The sequence below is a fragment of the Homo sapiens genome, chromosome 16 (genome assembly GCF_000001405.40).
Source record: "Homo sapiens chromosome 16, GRCh38.p14 Primary Assembly".
NCBI lineage: Eukaryota > Metazoa > Chordata > Mammalia > Primates > Hominidae > Homo > Homo sapiens.
Genome location: NC_000016.10, coordinates 8,642,929 through 8,662,131, shown reverse-complemented (window position 1 = coordinate 8,662,131; position 19,203 = coordinate 8,642,929). Strand labels below are relative to the sequence as shown.

Sequence of the window (19,203 nt, the reverse complement as noted above, 5' to 3'; positions counted from 1 at the left end):
TAGCTGGGACTACGGACACGTGCCACTGCACCCAGCTGATTGTTTTTCTTTTGGTAGAGACAGTCTTGGTATGTTGTCCAGGCTGGTCTTGAACTCCTGGACTCAAGTGATCTTCCCACCTCTGTCTCTCAAAGTATTGGGATTATAGGCGTGAGCCACCATGCCAAGCCCATTCTTGCTACTTCTGAGTCCTGTGACCTCAGACAGCCTCTGTAAAGATTCGAGCCTTAGCTTACGTGTCCCTAAAATGGGTACAGGAGGCTGGGCACAGTGGCTCATGCCTGTAATTCCAGCATTTTGAGAGGCCAAAGTGGGAGGATTGCTTGAGGCCGGGAGTTCGAAATCATCCTGGTCAATATAGTGAGACCCTGTCTCTACAAAAATATAATAATAATAGTGATAAAATAAAATAGAATAAAATAATATGAGTACAAAGTTGTTGGGCAGATAAATGAGATCAATTTTAAGTTCTTTTTTTTTTTTTTTTGAGACGGAGTCTCGCTGTGTCGCCCAGGCTGGAGTGCAGTGGCTCAATCTCGGCTCACTGCAAGCTCAGCCTCCTGGGTTCACGCCATTCTCCTCCTCAGCCTCCGCAGTAGCTGGGACTACAGGCGCCCGCCACCACGCCCGGCTAATATTTTGTGTTTTTAGTAGAGACGGGGTTTCACCATTTTAGCCAGGATGGTCTCGATCTCCTGACCTCGTGATCTGCCCGCCTTGGCCTCCCAAAGTGCTGGGATTACAGGTGTGAGCCACCGCGCCCGGCCAACGGTAAGTTCTTAATAAAGGCGGGTTTTATCTGAATTCGGGTTTGGGGCTAGCTGGGTACTGGCGGCTCTCAGAACTCACGTGCTGCTGTACAATGTATAGCAGGTTAGTTAGGGTCCCCCGAGAGTCACTGTAGACCCACACGTTGGCATGGCTGCCAGGACTGATGATTACCTTGGATTCCTTTCTGGCACGTCTGGCCCTGGATTCATGAGGCTGGGGCACCACCTTGTGGTGAGAATCCTGCCAGGGGCCAGCAGGGACGCAAGGTGCCTGACGGCCCTGCTTCCCTCAAGCCGCGGAACCTGGGGGAGGAGAACATGACATCCAGACCCTTTGGGAGACTTGAAGCCAAGACCAAACTCATCACCTGTCTTCCCCACTGGTCGGGCCAGAGTCCGGATCCCTGGTAGCTCTGGGTTTCCGTTCACTCATCCGCTCACCCACTCAGCACAGCTCCTCCTCCTCCTCCTCCTCCTCCTCCTCTTCCTCCTCCTCCTCCTCTTCCTCCTCCCCCTCCTCCCCCTCCTCCCCCTCCTCCTCCTCCTCCTCCTCCTCCTCCTCCTCCTCCTCCTCCTCCTCCAAGACTTGCCCACTTGCCGGCCCAATCTCCCCACCTGAAGCAGCGACCGCCCTCATTCACACTCTTCCAGCCCCCGATGGCTCTATTGTTCTTTCTAGTACTTACCAACACTGCCAAGGCTATAATTCTCAAACCATTAAAACATAATTATCTTAAAGTCAGTAGTGAGTATGTATTAAAAGTCTTATTTACTTTACTAATGAGGGCCTAGGCACAATGACAAAGCTGGCTCCAATGAGAATTCGAAAAACAGGGATTCTTCTAGGAAGTAGGAAAAATGAGGAGATAAAATTGCCATATTATGCTGGGCGCAGTGGGTCACACCTGTAATCCCAGCACTTTGGGAGGCCGAAGCAGGCGGATCACTTGAGGTCAGGAGTTCGAGACCAGCCTGGCCAACATGGTGAAACCCCCATCTCTACTAAAAAAAAATACAAAAATTAGCCAGGTGTGGTGGTGTGCGCTTGTAGTTCCAGCTTGGGAGGCTGAGGCACGAGAATTGCTTGAATCCAGAGGGCGGAGGCTGCAGTGAGCTGAGATCACACCACTGCACTCCAGCCTGGGCAACAGAGTGAGACTCCATCTCAAAACAAACAAACAAAAAAACAAAAACAAAAACAAAAACAGGCCATGTTACACATAAAGTCAGTTAATGTCCTACAGGGCAAAAATCACTGTACCCTTTGGGGTGATTTTCCTACTAGACAGAAGAGAAAAGCATCACATGATTTCAGTTCAACAGAAATGAAAAATGTGGCCAGATGTGGTGGCTCACACTTATAATCCTAGCATTTTGTGAGGCTGAGGTGGGAGGATGGCTTGTGCTCAGGAGTTTGAGACCAGCCTGGGCAACATAGTGAGACCCCGTCTCTACAAGAAATACAAAAAATTAGCTGGGTATGGTGACTTGTGCCTGTAATCCCAGCTACTTGGTGGGGCTGAGGTGGGAGGATCGCTTGAGCCCAGGAGGTCGAGGCTGCAGTGAGCCAAGACTGCGCCACTGCACTCCAGCCTGGGTAACAAGGTAAGACGCTGTCTGGAAAAAAAAAAAGCGAAGTCCTTGCGCCCTAATCAATTTAATCAATTGTATACACAAGTGCTGCACTGTCCTGATGGCTCTAGCATGCAGTCACCTTTTTGCCTCACTTGTAGCTTTTGGACTGTGGTTCTTTACACTACCTGACATTATATTTTGCATTTATTTGTTTATTGCAGGTTGCCTCCTCTAGAATGTAGGCTTCGTGAGGTCAGACAGGTGTAATGCCTGGCTCCCTGCTGCCTCCCAATACCTCATAAATATCCAGCATGTGGACACTCCTTGGTAGATATTTGCAGAATGGCTGGGAGGGTCAGGCTGGGCAATTCATATGATGCCAGCTCTGTCATTCCAGGACTCATGATCTGGTGAAGGATGGATGATTATCATACCAAGTTTTTTTTGTTCGTTTTTTTTTTTTTTCCTCATTCTGTTGCCCAGGCTAGAGTACAGAGGCGCAATCTTGGCTCACTGCAACCTCTGCCTCCCAGGTTCAAGCAATTCTCCCTTCTTAGCCTCACAAGTAGCTGGGACTACAGGGGCACACCACTGTGCCCAACTAATTTTTGTATTTTTAGTACAGATGGGGTTTCACCATGTTGGCCAGGCTGGTCTCGAACTCCTGACCTCAAGTTATCTGCCCACCTTGGCCTCCCAAAGTGCTGGGATTACAGGTGTGAGCCAGCGTGCCTGGCTGATTATCACACCAAGTTTTAAATGGGCTGTGGACACTGGGGAAGGCTTTGTGGAAGAAGGGGCAGGGGAGAGGGGCTGGGTGGGTGGTTTGAGAGGGTGAGGAGGGGTTGCATTAAGGCACATGGCCAAGAGAGTGGTGCATTCTCGGAGTGGGGAGGATTCAATATGGTGGATGAGATGGGGCTGGGAAGGGAGGCAGGGGCCAGGCCTTGGAGGGCCTTGTGGGCCCTGCAAAGGGATTTGGGCTTTGTGCAATGACCTCCCAGAGTGGGTGTCTACAGTAGAGCCTTGACGTGCACTCTGGTCAAATCTGGACTGAAAAGCCAAGTCCCCGCCCTCCCAAAGACGGAGATATGTTAATAGCAGGAAGATCTTTCGGTATATTTACATGCTGGAGAGTAAATATTTTCAAAGATCCCTCACAGCATCTCAGGATATCCTTCTGACCGATGCCAAGTATTCACCTGAGGATATGAGGCATACCATGTCCACCTAGCTCTTCTGGAGCCGAGGAGCAACCGGGCTTCAGCCAAGATCTTTGAGATTGAGCCTGGGGACTTCCTCCCCATTCCCTGTCTCCTTCAGCTTTGCAGTGGCTTGTAGTGTTTCTTTACCATGAGGTGCACATTTCTGAGCCTATATCCCTTGGGTTCTGGATGAGTTTGCTTTGGTAACAAATGACCACAAACTGGGGGATTAAAACAGTGGAAATGGATTATTTCAGTTCTGTAAACCAGAAGTCCGCAATCAAGGTGTCAGCAGGGACTCACGCCTCCAAAGGCTCAAGGGGAGGGTTCTTCCTTGCCTCTTCCAGTTTCTGGTGATCCCGGGTGCTCCTTCATGTGGCAGCATCACTCTGATCTCTGCCTTCATAGGCCATCTTCACTGTGGTTCTCAAATCTCCCTCTCCTTTCTCTTATAAAGACATCAGGGGCAGAGCACGGTGGCTCATGCCTATAATCCCAGCACTTTGGGAGGCCAAGGTGGGAGGATTGCTTGAACTCGGGAGTTTGAGACCAGCCTGGGCAACATGGTGAAACCCCGTCTCTGCTAAAAACAGACAAAATTAGCCAGGCATGGCGTCACACGCCTGTATCCCAGCTACTCAGGAGACTGAGATGGGAGGATAGCTTGAGTCCAGGAGGTTGAGGCTGCACTGAGCTATGATCACACCACTGAACTCCAGCCTGGGTGACAGAGAGAAACCTTGTCTCAAAAAAAAAAGAAAGAAAAGAAAAGAAAAAAGAAGGACACCAGTCATTAGATTTAGGACCCGCCCTAAATCCAGGACGACTGTCAAGACCCTTAACTTAATTAGATCTGCAAAGACCCCTTTCTCAAATGTTTCCAAGTTTCCCATTCATAGGTTCTGGGGTTTAGAACGTGGACATAGCTTGTTTAGGGCCACCATTCAACCCACTATAGTTTCAAAAAGGTGGAAAACATCCTTTGTCTTCAGTTTCTCAGGACTGACTGAAATTGTTTTGAACTCCATATAGTAGACGAAAAGGAACCTGGTTTTATGGGGGACAAGTCTTCCTGCCTTTAGTTAAAGAGGGACAGGACAAAGGCTGAAACCACAGGCAAAGCTATTGTTGGTGTTTTGCAAACTTCAGCCCCCAAGATCACCATCTTTGTGACATTTGCTATTCCTGCTTCCCACTTACATTATTACTTAATATTGTATTTAACTACGCACAAATTATTAACTTAGCCTCAACCGAGAATAATATCCTTCATGTCCCTGGTTTTCAAATGCAAGATACATTTTTCTCCCAGAATACACAAAACAGGGCATGATGGTGTGGTTCAACAACTGGACTAGCTTGGAGGGTGACTTCAAACAGGTTTTGTGAGGTCTTGTAATGACATCGATCCTCCCTGAAGTGGCATCTTCCTCTCTTATCTTGCTGTAAGAAGGGCTCAGCTGTGGTTTAGATGTCTGTTCCCTCCCAAACAACTCATGATGAAGTGTATTCCTATTGTAACAGTATCAAGAGGTGGGACTTTTAAGAGGTGATTAGGGCAAGAGGACTCTGTGGATTAATCCTGTTATCACCAGAGTGGGTTTGTCTTCTCGGGAGTGGGTTCCTTATAAAAGGACGAGTTTGACCCATGTTTACTTCTCTCTCGTTCTCATCCTCTCTTTACTGTTCTACCATGTGGCGCCTTCTGCTGTGCTATCATGCAGCAAGAAGGCCCTTGCCAGATGCTGGCCTTTAGCTCTTGGACCTCCCAGCCTCAGAACTGTGAGCCAATACATTTCTGTTAATTACGTTACCCAGTCTGTGGTGTTCTGTTATAGCAGCACAAAATGGAGTAAGACAGCTTCCTGGGTTGTCAGGAGGGCATTGGAGCCGCAGGGCACAGCCCAGCCCAGGCCAGCACTGCTGGAACATCACTCACTGCAGATGAAGGTGGAGTGACAGGGACTGGCTGCTCTCCTGCTGAGGTAACTGGAGTCTCAAACCTCCTCTCCCATCTTCACAGCCCACACAGCTGTTTTCTCAGAAGCAGAGAATCTTACTCTGCAAGTTCACATTAGAATCCCTGTGTCCCAGGTTTTGCCTAGTGGCTGTGCTGGAGCTTAATCTTTGCTTCTCCAATAGTTAGTTGTGCAGTTGGTGCCTGAGGTCTACTCACGCAGGTCTGTGGGGGAAGTGGGGAAAAGGCCCTCAGGGTACAAATAAAATCATTTAGGAAGTGGGGGTGGAGGAAAGGACTAATCCCTGGAAGTGGCATCCTGCTACATACATGTCAATAGGATAAACTTCAAAATGCTTTTCTCTTAAAACCTCTCTGCGCCAGGAACAGTGGTGCACACCTGTAGTCCTAGCTCCTTGGGAGGCTGAGGTAGAAAGACTGTTTGAGCCCAAGCAGTTCGAGGCCGTGGTGCACTATGCTCATGCCTGTGAATAGCCACTGCACTCCAGTGGGCAACATGGCGAGACCTGTCTCTAAAACAACAACAACAAAAACCTGCCACATACCACTGGTATCCTAACTCGCCATACTTTGGAGAACACTGTGTTAGAGCAAAGATGTGGTCATCAGGAGAATTTACCTTGGTGGAGGGCATGGTGGTGAGTCTTCAAGAACTATGTCTTGTCAGAAGACACAGTCCTCCAAGCCAGAAAGCTAGGCATCACCCTCAGCCCTCTCCTCTTCCTGAATCCCCCAAATGCCTCAGAAATAAATCTTAGTTTGCACATTTAGGTGGATAATAGATTGAACGGCTTTGTTTAGAAGAGCACCTGGATGGAAGTTGGTGCTCAATGGACATCAGCTGTGGGTATGAGAACACGATCTCTGCATCACAATGCTGGCGGGCTTGCCCACTTCCTTCCAGATTCAGTGCCTCTTCAGGGCAAGGATGTGTCCTTTGCATCTCTCTTGTGGGCAGCCTCTGAGATGGTCCCCAGTGATCCCACCTTTGGGTATTCCCACTCTGTGTAATCCCCTCCCCTTGAGTGTGGGCTGGACTTAGTGACTCACTTCTGAAGAACTGAATGTGACAAAAGTGACGGAGTGTCACTTCTCAGATTAGGTTACCTCCCAGTAAACTCTCTCTATTCTTGTATGCTTGCTCTGAGAAAGCTGCTGTCATGTCCTGGCTTTATCAGAGGCCCCCTAGAGAGGCCCACATGGCAGAGAAATGAGAGAAGTCTGTGGTCAGCAGCCAGTGAGGAACTGAGGCCCTTAGACCCATAGCAGGTGAGGAACTGAATCCTGCCACCAACCACAAGAGGGAGCCTCAATGTGGATCCACTCTTAGTTGAACCTTCAGATGAGACCACAGCTGAACTCCTTGTAGCCTTAGCAGAGGTCTTAAGACAGAGGCACCCAGTTAAACTAAGCCCAGATTTATGACCCACAGGTACTGTAAGATAATAAATGTTTGTTGTCTTAAGCTTCTAAGTTTTGGGGTATTTTGTCATGCAGCAAATAGATAATACAGTTCCTTTCCCCAATGCCCCACACAGGGCTTGGCTTATTTTAGAGTCTTCTAACTATTGGGAAGAGGCCCAGCAGGTTTGAGTTACTCCCTTTTTTCCCTTCCCACATGGTGGCTGGATTTATGTCCACCTTCAGTTTGCTGCTATGTCCATTAGCGTTCTCTGTAAAAATGTAATGGGCTAGAAACATGGATAAAACTTATGGTGGAACTTCAGCCTTTAGTACAGATCACGGCCACACTCCCCTGGGTCTGGACATGACAAATTTCCCACTGGGGAACCAGACAACATGGAGTTCAGATGAGCCTGGCATAGTCTCATTCTATGCATTCTGAGGCTCAGTTGGAGGAGCACCAAGCCCAGGGTCTTGTAGCCCCAGACCCACCCAAGGGATGATTTGCCCTCTGAACTTTTCTCTGAGTCTTTCTAGAACCTTTGGGCTAAAATAAATTTTATTTCCCAAAAGCTTGGCTTGATCTATCTGTTTTCAAATACAGCTCTTGTTAGAGAGTAGCATTTTGGCTGTGTGTGTATGCATGCGTGCATGTGTGCACATGTACTTAATTTCTTTTAACTTTATTTTTAGTAAAAAAGACACAAAAATAACCCATGTTTGTAAAAACAAAATACATGTATATAACATAAAGGGCAAAGTCTCATCAATTCCATTCCCCCAATTCCATGCCCTGGGGTTAATCAAGGTTAACCATGTGGTATGTAACTTTCCACCTATAAACACATACCTTAGAGCTGCCATTTATAAGTTATGTGATGATGAGCAAATTACCAGGAGTGGTGAAGAGCCTGGGGGATAAATTCTTAGACTATAAAGCCAAACTTCTCAGGTTCAAAGCCTGGCTCTATCCCTCACAACTTATGTGACCTTGGGAGAGTTACCTGGCCCCCTTGCCTACTCCCTCCTTAGTTTACCCATCTATGAAGTGGGGCCTCACGTGAGTGGAGGGATATTTACTGAGCTAATGTATCTAAAATGTTTAGGACAGTTGGCTATCACCATCTCGATCCTCTGAGATCTCCCATTTTGCTTGAGCCTGTTTTTTCTTTTTTTGAGATGGGGTCTTGCTCTGACACCCAGTCTGGAGTGCAGTGGTGTACTCATGGGTCACTGCAATTTCAGCTTCCCACATTGAGCTTGGTTCTGAAGTCAGGCTTTCCACAAAATTCTTCCCTGATATCATCCTTCTTCCTGGGTTCTCACTACCCAGGTGTTTAGATATAGGAGATGGTCCCAGTGTTCCTGTCTCTAAGTCCTGGTCCTACTGAAACGTTTCAGTAGCTTGAGCCTTGGAAATGATGGGGAAGCAGGTTTAACTAACTGAGTCTTAGTTAATTAAGGCTTTACTATGTATGGTAGCTTTAGAATAAAGTTGGATTTTAATCATTACCACTCAGCCACTTAAAATCTCCAAATCCTTCCCATGGGAAACCAATTCAAGATCCACTTCAACCAGGCATCTAGTAATCAATAGAGACTGATTGCCTTATTAATTTGTACACTGAACTTTACTTGGCTTTATTTCCGCTGCCTTTAATCACTGATGAAAGAATAGTTTCTTCTTCCATGTTTTATACCCTTTCCATTCATCCCATCAATATTTTCCTGTCAACACAGAAGTCATCACTGAATGCCAGATAGGCCTGACAAGAGTGTGTGCCCATGTGGGGACAGAGATCGGTGCTGTCCCCAAGACTCCGAGGCACCTGACATCACCCAACTCCATAGGTCTCTTTCAATCTAAGGGGCTGATCTTGCCCCCTAAAATTCCAGTTTAGATATTAAAACTTAGCGTTGTCCCTTGTGATTTTAACAGAGGGTTAAAATTCACAAAACTGTCAGAGTGATTCATCAGTCTGTTTATCAGTAACTAGTGTTAGAAAAGCAAATTCCTGCTGACACCTGCTTGGGGCCACTGTACCACACTGCCATGTAAGAAACAGCACAGTCTGGAAGGCCTCCCTGGTTGAAGCTGGGATCCACTGCCTGCTTCCAATATCAGCAGCACCACCGTTTGCCCGGCGCATGCATTGGTTGAGCAGCAGAAGTGGGTTTGAACTGGCAGTCACCTGAGATGCAACAGGCTTTAATCTAAGAGCACATTTACTTAGCATCTAGAAGGCTCAGACAGGAAACACAGCATCATCATCCCGTTGGGAAGACCACCTCCCAGGCACATAGCCATAGCTCCTTTTGCCCTTCCCCATTCAGGGGACACATGGCTGCTGCAGCCGACAGCCAAGATGTGTGTTGTGTGTGGATCACTGATGCACAGACCCATAAGCTTGGTTACCTACTGATATTTCCATCACAGTCACTCACATAGGGCCAAGGTATGGCCACCTACTCCCAGCTCCCTTAGTTTAGATGAGTCTAAAATTAAAAAAATTTTTTTTTTAAAATAATTATTTGTTTTAAATAACATGAGAATGGGTCTCACTATGTTGCCCAGGCTGGTCTCAAACTCCTGGCTCAAGTGATCCTCCTACCTCGGCCTCCCAAAGTGCTGGGATTACAGGTGTGAGCCACTGCACCTGGCCACACATGAGGGTTTCACAGCAAGCAAGGGCAAGGGCACACACTACATCTCACTTTTTTTTTTTTTTTTTTTTTTTTTTGAGACGGAGTCTCCCTCTGTTGCCCAGGCTGGAGTGCAGCGGCATGATCTCGGCTCATTGCAACCTCGACCTGCTCGGTTTAAGCGATTCTTGTGCCTCAGCCTCCTGAGTAGCTGGGATTACAGCTGTGCACCACCACGCCCGGCTAATTTTTGTATTTTTGGTAGAGATGGGGTTTCACCATGTTGGCCAGGCTGGTCTTGAACTCCTGACCGCAAATGATCCTCCCACATTGGCCTCCCAAAGTGCTGGGATAACAGGCTTGAGCCACCGCGCCCGGCCTACATCTCACTTTTATCTGGACTCTATACTGAAGAGCATGAACTCTGAGGCTGTGTCCCTGGCAGCATTTCTCCCCCAACTGGCAGCCCGTGGAAGTGGAGTGGAGCTGGGATCAGCAGGATAAAGCATGACTTTTCTTTTTTGCTTGTTTTATTTTAAGTTCTGGGATACATGTGCAGAATGTGCAGGTTTGTTACATAGGTATATGTGTGCCATGGTGGTTTGCTGCACCTATCAACCCGTCATCTAGGTTTTAAGCCCTGCATGCATTAGGTATTTGTCCTAACGCTCTCCCTCCTCGTCCCCCATCCCCCAAAAGGCCCCGGTGTGTGATGTTCTCCTCCCTATGTCCTTGTGTTCTCATTGTTCAACTCCCACTTATGAGTAAGAACAAAAGCATGACTTTTCTCTCTCTCTGAGGGTTGCCCAGGTCCTCCAAAATCATGCTCGTGTACAACACGGAACCTGAAATTGAAGTCAGGCTTTTTCCATTTGACTTTTCAGATTTGCTTTTTGTCCAGCTATTGCTTCAGGATAGGGTGGCAAACAGGATCCCTTTTATTTATAGAGAGAGGGAGAGATTGCTCCCAGTGATGTCTCTAGCAGGTGATGATGTGAGACAATCCAACCTTACAAATCACACAGGCTGCAAGGTGCAAGTTGAAAATTCCGCCAAGCCAAAAACTCTACCTTAGGACTAAGTCTGCAATTTAATGAAAACTTCACCAGGGCCAAGTATGACTCTAGGCATCTTTCATGGATCATTTAGTATGTTTTTTTTTTTTTTTTTGAGACAGAGTCTTGCTCTGTTGCCCAGGCTGGAGTGCAGTGGCTCGATCTCAGCTCACTGCAAGCTCCGCCTCCCGGGTTCACGCCATTCTACTGCCTTAGCCTCCCGAATAGCTGGGACTACAGGTGCCCGCCACCACGCCTGGCTAATTTTTTGTATTTTTAGTAGAGACGGGGTTTCACCATGTTAGCCAGGATGGTCTTGATTTCCTGACCTCATGATCTGCCCACCTCGGCCTCCCAAAGTGCTGGGATTACAGGTATGAGCCACTGCGCCTGGCCCATTTAGTATGATCTTTACAATAATTCTGTGAAGAAAGAATTCTTACCCTCTTTTTTTCCCATTTATTTATTTATATTATTTTTTGAGACGGAGTCTCGCTCTGTCACCCAGGCTGGAGTGCAATGGTGCAATCTTAGCTCACTGCAAACTCCACCTCTCAGGTTCCAATTCTCCTGCCTCAGCCTCCAGAGTAGCTGGAATTACAGGCACGCCACCATGCCCAGCTATTTTTTTGTATTTTTAGTAGATACGGGGTTTTGTCATGTTGGCCAGACTGGTCTTGAACTCCTGACCTCAGGTGATCCATTTGCCTTGGCCTCCCAAAGTGCCGGGATTACACGCATGAGCCACATCTGGCTTTTTTTCATTTATTGATAAATGAAATTTTGCATATTATGGGGTGCATATGAATGTGTTTTATATACACAGAATGTGTAATTATCAAGCCAGGGTATTTGAGGTATTCACCACCTTGAGAATTTATAATTTTATGTGTTGGGAACATTTCAAGTTCTCTCTTCTAGCAACTTTGAAATACACAATATATTGTTGCTAACTGTAGCCACCCTAGTCTGCTACCAAACATTAGAAGGTATTTCTTCCCTAAGTTTGTACCCATTCACCAACCTATCAAGAAGTTTTACTATTTTACAGGTGAGGAAACTCAGGTTCAGAGAGGCTAGGTCATTTGTCCAAGGTCATTGCTGTTACACAGCAGAGGCAGGATTTAAACCCTGGCTTGCTCAACTCCGGAGTTGGTGGGTTTTTTTTTCTTTAGAAATAGCGTCTCTGTCTGTAAGGCTGTGAGGGTGTAGTGCAGTGGCACAATCACAGTTCACTGCAGCCTAGAATTCCTTCGCTTAGGCGATGCTCCCGACCCAGCCTCCTGAGTAGCTGGGAGTACAGGTGCATGACACACCTGGCTAATTAAAAAAAAGTTTTTTAGAGATAGGGTCTCTGTATGTTGCCCAGGCTGATCTCAAACTCCTGTCCTCAAGTAATCCTCCTGCCTTTGCCTCCCAAAGTGCTGGGATCACAGGTATGAGCCACCACATCCAACCCAGAGTTTGTGCTCTTAACCAGGGATGACATGTTGCAACTTCACTCCTCACAGTGTGGCCCACAGACGAGCATCATCAGCATCACCCGGGAGCTTGTTAAACTGCAGCATCAGGCCACATCCAGGGCCTGAGTCAGAATCTGTATTTTGACAAGATCCCAAGTGATTCGTGTGCATACTAGTTTGAGAAGCTTTGGGGACCACAGTTTCACTAATGGTTTTTTTTTTTTAATTTCTTTTGAGACGGAGTTTCATTCTTGTTGCCCAGGGTAGAGTGCAATGGCGCAGTCTTGGCTCACTGCAACCTCCACCTCCCGGGTTGTAGAGATTCTCCTGCCTCAGCCTCCTAAGTAGCTGGGATTACAGGCGACCGCCACCACGCCCAGCTAATTTTTTTTTTTTTTTTTGTATTTTTAGTAGAGACGGGGTTTCACCATGTTGGCCAGGCTGGTCTCGAACTCCTGACCTTAGGTGATCCACCCACCTCGGCCTCCCAAAATGCTGGAATTACAGGTGTGAGCCACTGTGCCTGGCTTTGTTGGTTTTAACAGTTCTTTCCCATGCAGGCTGCAGCTGAACAGCCAAGTCCCCTCCTTGGGTCACATATTTTTCTGAAAATGTTATAAAAAAATTGAGTCCACTGGCCTGGGCTAATTACCTAGCAGAACATCCCCATGGTTTGGTGATTCTGAATATCGCTGCCAAACAAGCACTTGTAGAGGCTCAAACAAGGCCATAAAACATGGCAATGGGGGCGCGCTCCCACTCTGGGAAATGAAAATCTGACGATACTTTGAATTACAGTGGATCAAGATTAATTCCAGGCTCTACTTAGAGGAAGCTTTCAGGCCCAGTGGTTTAGACATAAAAGCAGTTTGCCCTAATGCGGCAGGTGAAAGCTGTGACAACTCTATTGCTTGGTGCCAATTACATTTATGGACTTGTACCCAGGAGTGCTAGGAAATTGTCACCATTAGTGCTGACGTACTGCCAGTTGTTGGCTCTGTCTAGTGGGGTTCTGATTTGAAGACTCATTATTAATATTCCCTGTAGTGATCTGCAATGCTGCTCCATTATGGCAAGTCTGTCAGGAACGGAGTTTGTGTAGGAATTTTAGAAAACAGCAATAGGTTGAGGGCTATGTGGTAGGCCCCAGAGCTTCTCAAACTACTGTGCACACAAATCACCCAGGGTCTCGTTGAGATGCAGATTCGGAATCACGTCCTGAGCTGAGGCTTGATACTTTTCTTCTTTTTTGGAGACAGGATCTCTCTCTGTTGCCCAGGCCAGAGTGCAATGGTGCAGTCATGGCTCACTGCAGCCTCAAATTCTTAGGCTCAAGCAATCCTCTCACCTTGCCTTCTGAGTAGTTGGGACTACAGGCGTTAGCCACTACGCCTGGCTTTTTTTTTTTTTTGAGATGGAGTTTTGCTCTTGTTGCCCAGGCTAGAGTGCAATGGCATGGTCTTGGCTCACTGCAACCTCTGCCTCCTGGGTTCAAGTGATTCTCCTGCCTCAGCCTCCCAAGTAGCTGGGATTACAGGCATGAGCCACCACACCCGGCTAATTTTGTATTTTTAGTAGAGGCAGGGTTTCACCATGTTGGCCAGGCTGGTCTTGAACTCCTGACTTTGGGTGATCCACCCGCCTCGGCCTCCCAAAGTGCTGGGATGACAGGCATGAGCCACCATGCCCGGCACCTCGCCTGGCTTTTTAATTTTTGAGATGTCTGGCTCTGTTGCCCAGGCTGGAGGGCAGTGTTGCGATCTTGGCTCACTGCAACCTTCGCCTCCCAGGTTCAAGCGATTCTCCTGCCTCGGCCTCCCAAGTAGCTGGGACTGCAGGCGCAAACCACCATGCCAGACTAATTGGCTGTTTAATTTTTAATAGAGATGGGGTCTTGCTTTGTTGTCCAGGCTGGTTGAACTCCTGGCCTTAATTGATCCTCCTGCCTTGGCCTCCCAAAGTATCGGGATTGCAGGAGTGAGCCAACATGCTCAGCCTGATGTTGCATTTCTAACCAGCATCCACGTGATGCCACAGATGCTGCTGCTGCTCCAGCGGGAATGTGGGAAAAGCACAGGCTCAGGAGTCAGATGGACATGGGTGGACATGGGCTCTAAACCTGACTCTGCCCTTGGTTGCTGTGTGATGTTGGGCAAGTTGCTGAACCTCTCTGAATTTTGGATTTCTCATGTGCAAAATAGGGATCACTTCTGCCTTTTAGGTTCTTTGAAGATTTATAATAACGTACATGCATAGGTTTTCTTCTTGCTCCCAGAGGGGCAGGGTGAGGTCACTCTCCTGCATGCTCTCACTACAGGTTCAGCTGAGACCGTTTTTCTTCTCTAAAGTACTTGGCTTTCTTCTTCCAAGTCAGGATTTCTCCGCCTCGGCGCTACTCACATTTTGGGCTGGATCATTTTGTGTTGTGGGGGATGCTCCGTGATTACCGCATTATAGAACGTTCAGCAGCATCTCTGGCCTCACCCACTGGATACTGGTGGCACCCGTCTCCCCTACTTGTGACCACCGAAAATGTCTCCAGGCACTGCCAAATGTTCCTGGAGGCAAAATCACTCACAAATAGGAAATAATGACCTAATTAGTAACTTACATTAGCAATTCATTCAACAATATGTGTTGAGCATCTACTGTTTGCCAGACCATACAGCAGGGATGTAGTGATATTTAAGACAAACAAGGTCCCTGACCTCATGGAGACTTTTTCCTTTTTGGACCTCAGTCTTCTCCGCTGTAATGTGGGTATCACAAGGCTGCGGACCTCCTAAATTTGTTGGGAAGATGAAGTTAGACTTGCAAGTGCCTGGCCCCTGGCATGAGGGATTAGCCAATGCCAGGGGTATGATGGGCCTAGGGATGGAACCTGGGAGCTTGGGGAGAAGCGAGTGTGGGCAGGGACAGTGCATGGAGAAGCCAGGAAACCTGAGCTGCAAGGGAGGCGGAAAGGGGCCATGAAAGGCCCTGGTGCAAAGTGTGCGGCAGCAGCAAGGCAGGGGAAAGGGGCTGCAGGGAGGGCCAAGGGTAGCAGGAAGATGGGACCAAAACTGGAGAGAAGGAGAGAGACAGTGGGACATAGAGGATGACAGGAAGGGGTGGAGATGGGAGGAGAGAGGCACAGATGGAGAAGATAAAAAACCAGACAGACAGACATGTACACACGTGATAAGACAGAGAGACCAAGGGGCGGAGGGAAAATGAGTCCAGGCGGAAGGGAACACCTCTGAGGAAGATCACTGCACAAACCCTGGTCAGCTGCACATGACCCCAAAGAGTGGCTCTTAGGTTTATTCCAAACGTACCTGATTTGGGTGATAAAGAGTTAAAATTAAATACAAAGGCCAATGCCAGTCCATTCCTGGCGCCAGCTCCTGCCTCTTCCTTCTCATGGGGCCCTCACCAGAGTGATGGGGTGGAGCATACCCAACCCTGGGAGGAAATGAGGCTTTTGTGCCGAGCGGCAATATGATGGCAATACTGGCAGTGGTAGTCAACCCATCTGTAAACAGCTGACAGAGGGCAGTACAAGAATCCACCTCACAGCCAGGGCCGCAACCGCAAGTAAAGCACACAGCTGAAATGACTGACGTGGGTGGAACTGAGCTGAGAAGGAACGTGGCTCGGCTTGACCCTGGAGCACACATCACAACCATGAGAAACAGGCAACTAAAGTGACCTCCAGCCCACAGCAACAACCTTCTCTGGCTACAACTGGGAGGCAGGGACAGACCCCAGAAAACCATCTTGGGTCATCTAAGGTACGTGTAACCATATTTTTAAAATGACAAAATCTCAAGCATGTTGCTTTGGTGAGCTTCTGATTTTACTAGAAATACACTCTAAGAACAGTCGAGACGCCGCGCCTTGTGGAGGCGATGGGTCATGTTACTGGTTCTGCGATGATCTTCCAGAGCTCCTGCAGCAAACAGAGAAAAGAACAGGTTTCTGAAGTGCACATACAAGAGCATCACAATTTCATTAAGGAAAGTGATTCACCAAGGAGAGTAGTTAGACAACACGTCAGCCACGGAGCAGGCGAGCTGGGGCAGGAGCGGACGGGCGGCTTCCTCCTTTCTTTGTTGCTCTGGGCTGTTCTATTTTACTGTGGCAGAGAGGCTGGATGGATGAAGTCCCAGCATTAACGGAAGGTGCATCAGAGGATGTCAAACAATCAGAAGAGACCAGAATAGCAGTGAGTTGCCGTATCTCTCCATTTTGGGGGAGATCTTTATAAACAATTTTATTTTAGAGACAGGATCTCATTCTGTTGCCCAGTCTGGAGTGCAGTGGCACCATCACAGCTTGCTGCAGCCTTGAACTTCTGGGCTCAAGCAATCCTCCCACCTCAGCTTCCAGAGTAGCTGGGACCACAGGTGTGCACCACCATGCATGGCTAATTTTTTTTCTTGATTTTTGTCGAGATAGGGTCTGTGATGCCCAGGCTGGTCTCGAACTCCTAGCTTCAAGCAACCCTCCGACCATGGCCTCCCAGAGTGCTGGGATTACAGGTGGGAGCCACCGTACCTGGCCTTTTTGGGACGTCTTAGGCATCATGTATTGGGGCTGCTGACTTGTAAGAAATGTGTGTTCTTGGTCATGTGACGCTACTCTTAATGCTGCCCAGAAGTGGCAGAGCAATAAATACAAGATCCTCCTCGCACACAAAACCACACGAATTCCATGCTGCCCTCCCTCAGGACGCGAGACAGAGTGCAAGGGCGGCAGCTCCTCGTGACTCCCTCTTCCTCCCTTTTTCCTTAGAACTAGGCCCGGGTCTCCACAGACATAGAGAAAGGGAGGCCACAGCCAAAAGGCAAACAGAACAAAAGAAGTTAATTCTCAATCTTTGGACTCCAGTTAATAGAAAAGCCAGTTCAGTCCGAGAGGGGCTGGTATCCTTCCACAGTGAAGATGTGAGCAGCGGCCACCACAGCGGGGCGCCTGCACCAAGATCTGCAACCCACAAACTTCCCTCCACTGACTTCCTGTTCCCCAAACAACCTCTGCCTCGGTCTTGCCTCCTCTGGAGTCTGAACTGTCCAACGGGGGGAATATGTGCTATAAAGTAAAAGACAAGGTTCGCCTGTAGGCCCGTCTCCAGACATGGTGGCTGCTAAGAACAGGATGTAGCTCCCCCAACAGGTTCCACTACAGATGGTGCCAGGCACGCAGGCTTCACCCCCTGCAGGACTAGGGTGGAGCCTGTGCTTGGAGGGCTTGCTTCATCACCTCTTTGCCCTGGAGTCACCCGCTTCACAGTAAAGCAACCAACGGCCCTGCTTCGGGGCCTGGACCTACCAGTTGCTGGAGGCGCTCGTAAACCAGGAGCTGTGGGAAGGAGGCCTCCACGGGCTCCACCACGAAGCGCAGCTTGCCATCTGCGAGCTGCTCCAGCGCGTGCAGGCAGGAGCGGAAGTGATCGTAGGCTTCACATGTGACGTCCAAGTGTCTCAATGTGAAGTTGAGCCTGCAAACCAGCCAGTCGGACGCACAAACTGCCATCATCAATGGGAAGGGTTTTGCTGTTTCTGCCCACCTTGCTTTCCTATCCCTCACTGATCTCATATCCCCTGGACGGGCTTTTACTGAGCGCCTGTCTCATGCTGAGTGTGTGAGTGCAATTCCTTCCTACATCTGCACGACAGCCCAGGAGGTGGAAGTGGATAGCACTTTACAGATGTGGAAACAGGCTCAGAAAGCTCAGGTCACGTGCCCACAATGACACTGCTGGAAAGATCAAGACAGTCCTGCAGATCAACACTTGAGGACGCCCTCCAGGTCCTGCCTGCACCCAGCACAGAATCTGGTGCCTGGAGCTGCGCATAACTATCTGAGAAATGAATGAATGAGAGGCAGTGGCAGGGGGCGGTGCAGAGGACTCCGGGAGCACAGAGAACAGAGAGAAAACTGCTGGGAAGCTGGGGTCTGAGAGATTTCAGAGAGTGAGCACCTTCAGAAACAGGTCTCCCAACCCTGCCACTTGCCTTTCAAAACCTTAGTCTACAAGATGGTTTCACTTGAAATTAAAGCTCTTTGCCTTTTTCCCTTTTCTTTCCAAATTTTTTTATCAAGAAAAATTCCAGACATGCAACAGGAGTAAGAACAGTCTATGCTGGGCGTGGTGGCTCCCACCTGTAATCTCAGTACTGTGGGAGGCCGAGGAGGGCAGATCACCTGAGGTCAGGAGTTTGAGACCAGCCTGGACGACATGGTGAAACCCCGTTTCTACTAAAAATACAAAAATTAGCCAGGTGTGGTGACGCATGCCTGTAATCCCAGCTACTTGGGAGGCTGAGACAGGAGAATGGTGTGAACCCGGGAGGTGGCGCTTGTGCTGAGCCGAGATCGCACCATCACACTCCAGCCTGGGCTGACAGGGCAAGACTCTGCCTCAAAAAAACAAAAAAAACAAAACTGTCTAATGAACCCATTACCAGCTTCAGCCACTGTCCACTTCCAGCCACTCTGCCACCTTGGCTCTTCCCGGGGCCCCCTGCCCTCACTGAGTTATTAAAAAGCAAATGCCAGACACCAACCCATTTCCTCTGTGAAGCTGGAAATGTCAGTGTGTGTCTCAAGAAGATGAAGACCTCTTCAACTAAAGTTTAACAATCACCCTTTAACATCAAATATTCAGTATTCAACTTTTCCCAACTGTCCTGATGTTTTTCCTTTACAGTTTATGAAATCAGGATCCAAATGAGGTCTGTACATTGCTATTGCTCAGTGTGTGCCTCAAAGCAAGCCCTCGGTATTATTGGTATAAGTAACACTGCAATAAATATGCAAGTACATACAGCTTTGTACACAACCCTGAGTGTGAATTTCCAGATGCTGAATTGCTGGGTGAAGAAGTCTGTTTCGTTTTACAGCTTTTGCTGTGGATTCCGAACGATCTTCAGAAAAGCTGTGGACTACTGTTAAGTATTACAGGAGAATGTGTGTAGCTATCACAAGGTGGGCACTCAATAAATGGAACCTAACATTTCAGGATATTCTAGTGGAAATGTCTGGGTGAGGCTGTTGGGTGAGGAGCTGTCCGATTCAGCAAGAGAAAGAGACCTGGGGGAGCTGAAGAGACAGACGGCACCACAG

The 19,203-nt window shown here is 48.3% G+C and overlaps 1 protein-coding gene across 12 annotated transcripts in view; it reads right to left on the bottom strand.

Annotated features, from left to right (window-relative positions):
- Window positions 1–19,203, bottom strand: part of METTL22 (methyltransferase 22, Kin17 lysine) — a 45,577-nt gene that overhangs the window by 5,143 nt on the left and 21,231 nt on the right. For 4 of the 12 annotated variants that reach the window (NR_134608.2, XM_047434613.1, XM_047434612.1 and 1 more), the window contains 2 exons: window positions 17,407–17,575; window positions 12,478–16,024 (listed from right to left, as the gene is read on the bottom strand). Coding sequence is in view for 11 of the 12 variants with exons in the window: in XM_047434613.1 (XP_047290569.1) it covers window positions 15,989–16,024; window positions 17,407–17,575 (205 nt within the window). In the remaining variant the exon portion in view is untranslated. Of the gene's footprint in view, window positions 1–942; window positions 1,074–12,477; window positions 16,225–17,406; window positions 17,604–19,203 lie in introns of those variants that run through there. The other 8 variants (XM_047434611.1, XM_005255570.5, XM_017023660.2 and 5 more) reach the window with 5 other exon arrangements.